Raw genomic sequence first — 11,404 nt, 5'->3', positions numbered from 1 at the left:
TCTTATTGCTTGTCTTTTTGATAATGTCCTAACAGAATTGAAGTGATATCTTATTGCAGTTTTGATTTGCATTTCCCTGATGATTAGTGATGTCAAGCACCTTTTCATGTACCTGTTGCTTATTTGTATGTCTTTGGATTATTGGGCTTTTGAAGATGCTAGAGGCAACCAGGTTAATGGAGAGATCAGTACTTGGGATCAGAGACATGTTTGAGCTCTGATCTTTATTATTTAGTGCTAAGAATTTTTGGGCTGGTAACTTACATATTTGGGACTCAGTTTCCTCCTAAGTTAAATGGATGTAGTAGTACACACTGTCTCCGCCTTTCAGAGTTGTGTACTGTGAGCACCAAATGGAATACTTTACGGTATGTGAAAGTGCAGTATAAATCCTCTAAGAAAGAGAACCACCTCTCCTAAAGCTGACCTTAGGGAAAATATTGTCTTGTGGATTGTTTTCAAAACAGATTCTCTCCCTGGTATTTTAAATCAGAGCAGGGAGCAGAAATGTTCCTGGAGACAACCTCTGCTTATAAGGTTGGGGTCAGGAGCTCTGACAATGTACTTCCAGAAGAGATGATGTTGGCAGTTTGTGAAGTTAAATTCGTAGACTTTCCAGGTAACTTTCCAGGTAGTTTAGAATGTTAGATCTGGATTTCTTACAGGTCATCTGGTCAATGATGAACTTCAGTCCTTGAAGGTATTTAACTTATATCTAGAGAATTATTATCTTAATTTTAAATTGCACATTAATTTTGCAAATATGTTTTAACTTATTAAAAAATACCTTCTCATGGTAATGGTACAGAGATATTTAAAATGGTATGAAAGACATAACTGAAAAGTCTGGGGCCAGGTATAGTGGCTCACACCTGTAATCTCAGCACTTTAGAAGCTGAGGCAAGCAGATCACTTGAGGTCAGGAGTTTGAAACCAGCCTGGCCAACATGGTGAAACCTCGTCTTTACTAAAAATACAAAAATTGGTCAGGTGTGGTGGCTCACGCCTGTAATCCCAGCACTTTGGGAGGCTGAGTCGGGCGGATCATGAGGTCAGGAGATCGAGACCATCCTGGCTAACACGGTGAAACCTCGTCTCTACTAAAAATACCAAAAATTAGCCGGGCGTGGTGGTGGGCGCCTGTAGTCCCAGCTACTCTGGATGCTGAGGCAGGAGAATGGCATGAACCCGGGAGGTGGAGTTTACAGTGAGCTGAGATCACGCCACTGCACTCCAGCCTAGGAGACAAAGTGAGACTCCATCTCAAAAAAAAAAGAAAAAAGAAAAATACAGAAATTAGCTGGGCGTGGGCAGATGCCTATAATCCCAGCTACTTGGGAGACTGAGGCAGGAGAATTGCTTGAACCTGGGAGGCAGAGTTTGCAGTGAGCTGAGATTGTGCCACTGCACTCCAGACTGGGTGACAGAGACGCCAAAAAAAAAAAAAAAAAAAAGTCCAAGCCTTCCTTTTTCTTCAGCCACCTCAGCCTGTTTTTCTCCTTAGAGATACAAGTTTTTAAACTTCCTCTTTTTGGTTCTTCTGGTAGTTACTGCCGTGCTTGCAATGATGTGATTTTACCTCTGTTCCTTGATTTATAATTTTTTGACAGTATCTATTGTCTCCCCATTACAACAATGATTAATTTATGTTTCTTTCTTTTCTTCCACTTTAGTTTCTGCTTGACACATTTTATTTTTAGTTCCTCTCTTGGCTACCACTGTAGCTTTAAGTAGTATTTTTGGACTTTTACATCCTGACCTATTGGTTAGAGTTTCCCTTGAATTTTCACTCTGTAAAATGAGAAAATTGGTTCCCCTGCATTTCCCTTCACTGTTCCAGCTCCATCTGTCTCTTGGCTGCTGTCATCATTTCACCGTCTAGGTTTACAACACATATTGTGTTCTATAACCATATGTGTCCTTTATGCTTTGCCTAGAGGTTGATTCTAAAAACTGAAAGCCAATATCTGTAGTTTATAATAAGATTATATAAATATTTGTTCAATGAAGAACCACGTAATGTGATTGTGTAACTAGAGAAGGAAATGAGATCCTATGCTTATAAACCCAGGTACTTAAGAGAGTGATTTTTAGGAGACAGGAAGAGGGACAGCATATTTTAACTATTTACCTTTATTATTATTTTTTTTTACAGGCTAAATTGAACTCCTGGGCTCAAGCGATCTTCCCATCTCTGCCTCCTGAGTAGCTGGGACTACAGATACATGCCTGGCTTACTTTTATTATTTTATGCATCCATCTTATAACTAAAATTATCCACTTTTAAGTGTTAAAGTTTCTTGCAGGGAATCAATTTTCTTTATGAATACACTTAGTTTAGAGCTTCTGAATTTTCTTATTTTTCTAGGTTCTAATTTGGATCTAGCTGTTGCACAGCGATCACCCTAGAGTATCTTTTCACGCTCTCCTGGGTTAACACTACTGTGTCTGTCACTTTCTTGCACTCCTTTGTTGTTTGGCTGGGGTGCATACTTGAGTAGTGCTCTCAGAGAAGATCACTATTTGATAAATATCAGAGTCTTTGCTTATCCATTAATATCTAGGTTTTATTTTTATTCTTGATTGATAGCTCAGGAAGCTATAACCTTTTATGTTATTTCGTCAAAACTTAAAGGTAATACTTTATTGTCCTATGGCATTGAAGATTGCTGATTAAAAATCTAATGCCAATATGATTCTGGTTCCTTTGTAGGCAACTTATTCTGTCTGGAAACTTCATATTTGGCATTCTAAAATTTTATGATGATAGCTCTAGGGTTGTGTATGTGTGTGCTTTTTTTTTTTTTCCCCCAAGACGGAGTCTCACTCTGTCACCCAGGCTGGAGTGCAGTGGCACGATCTTGGCTCACTGCAACCTTCGCCCCCAGGGATCAAGTGAGTCTCCTGCCTCAGCCTCCTGAGTAGCTGGGATTACAGGTGCCTGCCACTGCACCTGGCTAATTTTTGTATTTTTAGTAGAGACGGGGTTTCACCATCTTGGCCAGGCTGGTCTTGAACTCCTGACCTCATGATGCACCCACCTTGGCCTCCCAAAGTGCTGGGATTACAGGCATGAGCCACCATGCCTGGCCATGTGTGTGCATTTTAACTTATCCTTTTCATGACTTAGTGATGCCTGGAGACTCACATCTTTCTTTTGTTCTGGAAAAATGTAATAATTTTCTTCTTGCCTGTTGTCCTCTTTTACTTGAACATGTATTAGGTGGATATTAGGATTTTTGAATTGATCTTTTTAAGTCTCAACTTTTTAAGTGATTTTTTTCTAAATCTTTGCATTTTAAATTTATAATCCGAAAGATCAGTGTTTTGCTTCTAGCTCTTTTATTGAATTTTTGATTTTGTCAATTGTATTTTAAAAATTCAAGAATTATTTTGTTACCTACTCTTTTTGGTGAGCAGCTTGTATTTCTTTTCTTTTTTAATGAATAAACTATAAAGTCTCTGAGAGATAGTTTAGAAAGTTTTGAAGCTCTTTTCTATTGTCTGCATTATCCATTTCCTCTAGGGTCTTTTGTTTTTGTTTATTTTATTCGGTCTCTCTTGGTCTATTTTTTCTACTAATTAATTACTAATTGATTGGTTATAAATAATATTCATTTAGTTCTAATTCTGAGCCAGACCCTGAGCAAGACAGAGTTTCTACCCTCATGGAGCTTGCATCATAGGGCAGAAGTCACAATTACCATGTATGTAAATGGACACACAGGAATTCCAATTTGTAGTAAGTACCATGAAGGAAATAAGCAGGGTGGTGTGAGAGTGAGTGATGGGGAGCCCTCTTTCAGAATGGGGTGTGTGAGCTGACAGCTGGAAGACAAGGGGCAGCCAGCAAGGTGACCACAGCCAGGGGGTGTCTGGAGAGGAGAAAGGGTCAGATAAGGTGCACCTCTAGGTAGGCTCTGGGGTAAGGAACTTGCCTTTGATTTAAGTGCAGTAGGAAGCCATAGGAGCATATTAAGAGGGATGTGATGCAATGGAATACTATTCAGCCATAAAAAAGAATGAAATCATGTGTTTCGCTGCAACGCAGATGAAACTGGAGGCCATTTTCTTAAGTGAAACAAGTCAGACACAGACAAATACCACATGTATTCACTTACAAGTGAGAGCTAAATAATGGGTAGATGTGGACATAGAGTGTGGAATGATGACCATGGACACTTGGAAGGGCGAGGGGGTGGGAGGGAGGTGAATGATGAGAGATTATTTAATGTGTACAAGGTACATTATTCGGGTGATGGATACCCTAAAAACCCTGGCTTCACCACTACACCATCTATGCATATGGCAAAATTACACCTGTACCCTATACATTTATACAAATAAAAAAGAGTGAAAAAAGGGGAGGGATGGTCTGATCTGACCTACGTTTCTAATGATCCACTCTAGCTGCTGAGTGGAGAATGACCCGAGACAGGCAAAAATAGCGGAGGGAGGATCATGAGGACTCTGCTGCAACTAGCTAAGCTCAGAGAAGGGTAGGGTGGCTGGGTATCCTGGGGAAATGGTAAGGGAGCATCACCAGCAGAGCATGGTGTCAGAAAGGCAGGACAGAAAGTGTTCATGGAGAGAGTCGTTCAGTACGTCAGTGCTGCTGAAAGGTCACAGAAGGCTAGGACAGAGCGGTGGGCACCCTGCTTGGCAGGTGAAGGTTGCTGGTGACTTGATAGCCTCGGGGGAGGGCTGAAGAGAACCTCAGATGGTGGGAGGCGTTCACCCAGGTTTTCGACATAGTAACTGCACAGTAAGTTACTGCAGTGGTGTATTTGTCACTTTCCATTGGATATGGTTTGGGTCTGTGTCTGTGCCCAAATCTCATGTGGAATTGTAATCCCCATTGTTGGTGGAGGGGCTTGATGGGAGGTGATTGGATCACGGGCGCCGACTTTCCCCTTGCTGTTCTCGTGATGGTGAGTGAGTTCTCACGAGATCTGGTTGTTTAAAAGTATGTAGCACCTCCCCTTTCTCTTGGTGGTCCTCCTGCTCCTGCCAAGTAAGACGTGCCAGCTTCCCCTTCACCTCCCACCATGATTGTTGCCTGAGGCCTCCCCAGCCAGGCTTCCTGTAGAGCCTGTGGAATGGTGAGCCAATTAAATCTCTTTTCTTTATAAATTACTCAGTCTTGGCCAGGCATGGTGGCTCATGCCTGTAATCCCAACACTTTGGGAGGCTGAGGCAGGTGGATTGCTTGAGCTCAGGAGTTCTAGACCAGCCTGGCCAACATGGTGAAACCTCCTCTGTACTAAAAATACAAAAATTAGCCCGGTGTGGTGGCAGGTGCCTGTAGTCCCAGCTACGTGAGAGACTGAGGTGGGAGAATAATGCCTTGAGCCTAGGAGGCAGAGGTTGCAGTGAGCTGAGATTGTGCCACTGCACTCCAGCCTGGGCAATAGAGCAAGACGCTGTCTCAAAAAATAAAAATAAATTAAAAAAATACCCAGTCTCAGGTAGTTCTTTTTTTTTTTTTTTTTTTTTTTTTTGAGACGGAGTATCGCCCTGTCGCCCAGGTTGGAGTGCAGTGGCACGATCTCTGCTCACTGCAACCTCCGCCTCTGGGTTCAAGCAATTCTCCTGCCTCAGCCTCCTGAATAGGTGGGACTACAGACATGCACCACCATGCCTGGCTAATTTTTGTATTTTTAGTAGACACAGGGTTTCACCATGTTGGCCAGGCTGGTCTCGAACTCCTGACCTTAGTTGATACACCCACCTTGGCCTCCCAAAGTGCTGGGAATATGGGCGTGAGCCACTGCGCCTGGTCTCAGGTAGTTCTTTATAGTAATGTGAGAATGGACCAATACACCGTTGGTAGCTTGGAAATGGAAATTCCTTGAATAGTTGCTCCCAGCCCCAAACACTTTGTAGAACCCCCCTAATTTCTTCCAAAGCCCTCCTGTTTTCTGTACATTTCCTCCTTTTCTTATGACTCCATCAGAAAATATCTTACATGAGGAAGAAATGGTTTAAAACATTTCTATTTACTTTCATGTTATTTCTGATTATCTACCAGAGAGCATAACTTTTTTTTTCTTTTTTTTTTTTTGAGGTGGAGTCTCACTTACTGTTGCCCAGGCGGTGCCATCTCGGCTCACTGCAACCTCTGCCTCCTAGGTTCAAGAGATTCTCCTGCCTCAGCCTCTCGAGTAGCTGGGACTACAGGTGTGTTCTACCACGTCCGGCTAATTTTTTTTTTTTTTCACTAGAAATGGGGGTTTCCCCATGTTGACCAGACTGGTCTCAAACTCATGACCTCAAGTGATCCACCCACCTCAGCCTCTCAAAGTGGGATGTTCAGTACAGACACGTTTTTCCAGCTATTTTCAATCGGAAATAATCTGAAATCAGATTATCGAAATCGGTTGGTTGAATCCACAGACGTGGAATCCATGGATACAGAGGGCCAACTATACTTGGTGGTCAAACCTACGCATGATTTCAAAGCCCATGCTCATTCATTCTTCTTTCCTTTTTTTCTACTTTAACTTTTACTTTTGTTAAAGCCACGTATGTATAGAGTGCAAATATTAAGATCACTCAACATGGCTGATTGTCAAACATTGCAGCAGTTCCCTGTCCCACTTTCCAGAAGCACCTCCTTGTAACTTTCACCTGAGTGTTTTCATGTTCATTTCCGTATTTGTAAAATATGTAAATTGGTAAATATGTAAAATGCTAGCATGTTTCTTGAAGAAAAAATGTGGGTAGTAAGTATTTGCTGGAATACAAAGATTTCACCGTCTTTTACCCGCCTGTCTCTCAGAACACAATTTAAGTCTTCTCCATTCTCTTTATCCAGTTAAGTTCTAATTTTGGCTGGCTCATTTTTCAGTGTTTATTGTGACTATGCTTGCTGAGTCACGCGGTACACAATCATTACGTTTCCTTCCTCTTGCACTTTTTTATTTTCCATAGAGTTAATAATTGTCTTCCAGTTCTATTTGCTTATTTTTCTGTATACTTGTAACTAATTCAATGCCAGCTCTTTCAATTGGGCATACCTCTCAATATGTTTAATTTCATTTTCTTGAAGAAATCTCTTCTGGATCTTCTGATCTGCTCCAAACTGCACGGGTTGCTCACACAGCAGTGACTCATCTGCCATCTTGCGTTCTGCCTCCACCCATTATCTGGGTGATTTCTTCACTTCTTTCCCTGCAGGTCTGAAAAGGCCTTTATCGTGTCATCTCATTTCATTGATAGTTTGGCTGAGTATTCAATTCTAGGTTTTAAAATTTGGAATTTGGAATTTGGAAGTTCTGCTCTGTTATATTCTGCCTTGTTACTTAAGACCTGCGTTGTTCTCTCTCTCTCTCTCGAAGTTTGTAGACTCTTTCTCTGTCCCTAGTGTTCCTATATGTCACAATGATGCACTTTGTTGTGGGTTTATTTTGTCTTCTGGGACTTGGTGGGCTCCTTTTAATCTAGAAACTTATGTCTTTCAATTCTGAGAGATTTTTCTTGAATAATTTTGCTGATGGTTTCTTTATTTTCTCTTTTTGAAACTCCTGGACAGTTCTCTAATTTTCTTATTTTTTTCTTGTCTATTTTCTATCTCTTTTTCTGTTTACCCTTCTCTCTGGGAAATTTTCCCAACCTAGTCTTCTATTGCAAGCTGCCTTATTTTAAATTCCAAGGATTATTTAAATGTTCTTTCATATTTTTTAAAAATGAGTATATTGTATTCCGTTATCTCTCTCAGGATATTAATAAGGGTTTGGGGGCTATTTTCTCTGTTTTTACCTCCTTTTTCCACTTTGCTTTGGTCTCTGGCTTTCAGATTACCGTATTTTATCGACTTTGAGAACCTTCGATGCTGGTGCTCTTAATCTTACGAGAAAGTGTCCACGAAATTATTTTGCATGGCCGTATCACGGCTGCCTCCTGACTGACCATGATTTTGCAATACTATTGATTTGTAAGGCGGATTTCAGAGATGTTCATTCGGACACATGCATCTTAGGATCAATGAAACAGGGTAAATGCTTCTCAAGTTATCTTGGGATTCTTGCCTATACTGTTTATAGTTTAAGAGTGGTGCACCAAAAATCTGTTTATAGTCTGCTCTGCATGGTGCTGGTGGTAGTAGGTGAGTGGAGGGCTTTACTGACAGTGGAATTAATTGTAAGATGATTCAGCTCGGCTGTTCTTTTTTTTTTTCATTTTTTTGTTTTTTGAGACATAGTCTCACACTGTCACTCAGGCTGGAGTGCAATGGCATGATCTCGGCCCACTGCAACCTCCATCTCCCAGGTTCAAATGATTCTCCTGCCTCAGTCTCCCGAGTAGCTGGGATTACAGGTGCCCGCCACCATGCCCAGCTAATTTTTGTATTTTTTGTAGAGATGGGGTTTCACCATCTTGGCCAGGCTGGTCTCGAACTCCTGACCTCATGATCCACGCCTCCCCCGCCCGGCCCCTTGGCCTCCCAAAGTGCTGGGATTACAGGCGTGAGCCATGGCGCCCAGCCTGTTTGTTTGTTTTTTTAAGAAACATGGTCTTGATATGTTGCCCAGGCTGAAGTGCAGTGGCATGATCATGGCTCATGGCTACCTCGAACTCCTGGACTCAAATGATCCTCCCACTTTAGCATCCCAAGTAGCTAGGACTACAGGTGTGCACTACTACACCTGGCTGATTTAAACATTTTTTGTAGGGATGGGGTCTCACTATGTTGCCCTGGCTGGTTGTGAACTTCTGGCCTCAAGTGATCCTCTTGCCTTGACCTCTCAGTACATGGAGATTACAGGTGTGAGCCACTATGTCTGGCCCAGCTTGACAGTTTTGTTAAGAAACCCTCTGATGATGACTTTCTCATGAACTTGTTGGATTCCCAAGAGAAGAGTTTTTGAATCTTCTGCCTGGAGGATTTAAGCTTGGCTGTCTGCCTTCTGAGCGTCACGATGGGAAGGAAGGCTGGGAATCAGATGCTCAGCATGCAGCTTTGACTTCGTCCCTTTCTTCCATACAGTACTCCTGCCCTTATCTCTGCCTGGTGTTCCCCAGCCCAGAGAGGCTTGATTTTACCTCTCCAGAGGGAAAAAACCCTCCAGGCTCCTGCCCTTTGTGGAGCTGGGAAAGAAAGCTGGTGGAGTTAACTGCTTCTCAAACAGACTTTTCAGTCAAACCTTCTGTTTTCTGCCCCATCTTTTTCTCTGCTTCCAAAGGAGCTGGGTGTTGCTGCCTCCTGAGCCTTTGAAGTTCAGGATGTGATTCAGGTTGTGTCTCAGCTTTACCTATGGTTGGTTCAGGTTTGCTTAAGTTAGTTACTTCGCCTTCATTTTCCAGCTTTCAAAATGTTTTTTTGGCTGGGCATAGTGGCTCACACCTGTAATCTCAGCACTTTGGGAGGCCAAGGCTGGTGGATCACTTGAGGTAAGGAGTTCAAGACCAGCCTGGCCAACATGGTGAAACCCCGTCTCTATTAAAAATACAAAAATTAGCCGGGCGTGGTGGTGCACACCTGTAATCCCAGCTGCCTGGGAGGCTGACTCAGGAGAATTGCCTGAACCTGGGAGGCAGAGGTTGCAGTGAGCTGAGACCGTGCCACTGCACTCTAGCCTGGCAACAGAGTGAGATTCTGTCTCAAAAGAAAGGAAAGTATTTTTCTGTCCACCCATTCTCTTTGTTAAAAATCACATTACAGGGAGGGGAACATCACACACCGGGGCCTGTTGGGGGGTGGGGGGCTAGGGGAGGGATAGCATTAGGAGAAATACCTAATGTAGGTGACGGGTTGATGGGCTAAAATGATCCTCCCACCTTGGCCTCCCAAAGTGCTAGAATCATAGGCATTTATTAAAAATATATTTTCTACATTGATTTGAAATGCAACTTTATTTGGATCTGTTTTGGAGCAAAGACCATAAGCCTTCCAGTGCTTCACCCTCTCCCTTAATGCTAGGTGAGTGCATCTTTCTTTCTGGGTCTCTGCTTCTTGCTCTGTAAGTGATGTTAGGGAACTGCATTATTCTTGCTGTTGCTAAGCTCTGCAGCCACATATGCTCTTATTTGTTAATTTGACCAACATGTTTGGGTCCTCTGCAGTGTCTGTGTTTGTGCTAAACACTGGGGATACAAAAAACAAGGCAAGCCCCCTGCAGTAGTCACTGTAGGAAGCCAATGACACGTTAGTCTAGGAGTGATTCTTCTGTCCTAGGATGGGTCTCTTTCATGCAGGATTATAGAGCGTTCTGGAGGACATTGTGCAAAATGTTAATGATGGTTGTTTCTGGGGGTGTGGTCTCAGTTGAATTTTGATCTCTGCTTTATTCCTTTCTGTATTGCTTATATTTTTGGCAAGCATACACTTTTTTTTTTTAGCATGATTGTTTTGTTTTTAACAGACCTCAGTTTCACAGAATTGGTTTAGTTGTAATCCTTGGTTCATAACGCTCTCTGGGGTTCCACAGTACCTTTAGGAAAAGAAAACAGCAAGAAGCAATCTACAGAGGTTAGGGAGGATTCCAAGAGTGACCAGAGGGTGTTCCTTAGGTAAGACGCATCAGAGAGCCAGAGCAGTCAGGCACCCCTGCTGCTGTGAGGTGCCTGTGTGAGGGTGCAAGGTACAGCTGCCTGAAACCATGTGGCCTTTGGGGAATTGTGAGGAATTCAGCTTGCCAGAAGCTGAGGTTATAAGCAGGAGTGACCATGTGTTACCTGGTATACACAGAGAACACTAGAAATGAATAATTTTAAGACTGTGAGAATTTGCACAGCTGAGGATCTCATATACCCATTTAAGCCCATCCTTTGGGGCACTTTCTCACAAATGGAGGATTAGATATTCTTTCTATTAAAAAGTGTAACTGTATATTAGTACAACAGAAATAAAGACTCTCTAAGCTGAAGAATCCCTAAGTGAAAGAAAAAATTATAAATACACGCACCTATACACAAATTATTAACGCAATGATAGCTTTTACAAAAATTGCCTTTTGTCCAGCATCATCAGTTTCTTCCTCTCTGCTCCATTCCTCCGGAGGGCATGCTGACATGCCGTTGGCTCTTCTTTGATCTCTGTGCCTATCTAGATACCACTTGATTTCTCTGCTCTCCCTCCCAGAGAGAGGGTGTCTTGCTGTCTGTTTGCTTTTCCACATTTCCTTCTCTCCTGAGTCTTCTTCAGTCAGGCTTTCAGCTGAAACTGTCTTCACAATGAAGACCTCCACCCTGCCAAGTCCCATGGTCCATCTGCTAGCCTCTTTATTGAGTCTTGCAGTGACATTTGGCATGACTGACCACTCCTTCCTTTTGGAAGCATTTTTTTGGAGCTTTCATTTCATTCCATTCCATTCCATTCTATTTCATCTCATCCCATCCCATTCCATGCCATCCCATCCCATTCCATGCCATCCCATCCCATTCCATGCCATTCCATCCCATT

The 11,404-nt window shown here is 42.5% G+C and overlaps 1 annotated feature.

The window, feature by feature from the left end:
• Nucleotides 909-1,162: a silencer, noted in NCBI's record as "fragment chr6:4694403-4694656 (GRCh37/hg19 assembly coordinates)". NCBI's record gives its function as "represses an EF-1alpha promoter that drives an FKBP-Casp9 reporter gene in an ReSE screen in phorbol 12-myristate 13-acetate-treated (for megakaryocytic differentiation) K562 erythroleukemia cells {active_cell/tissue: K562(+PMA)}" and the evidence as "EXISTENCE:reporter gene assay evidence [ECO:0000049][PMID:32094911]".

This window comes from Homo sapiens, chromosome 6 (assembly GCF_000001405.40).
Source record: "Homo sapiens chromosome 6, GRCh38.p14 Primary Assembly".
NCBI classification, from domain to species: domain Eukaryota; kingdom Metazoa; phylum Chordata; class Mammalia; order Primates; family Hominidae; genus Homo; species Homo sapiens.
The sequence above is the reverse complement of the archived record's forward strand: the minus strand, read 5'-3'. Positions and strand labels throughout refer to the sequence as shown.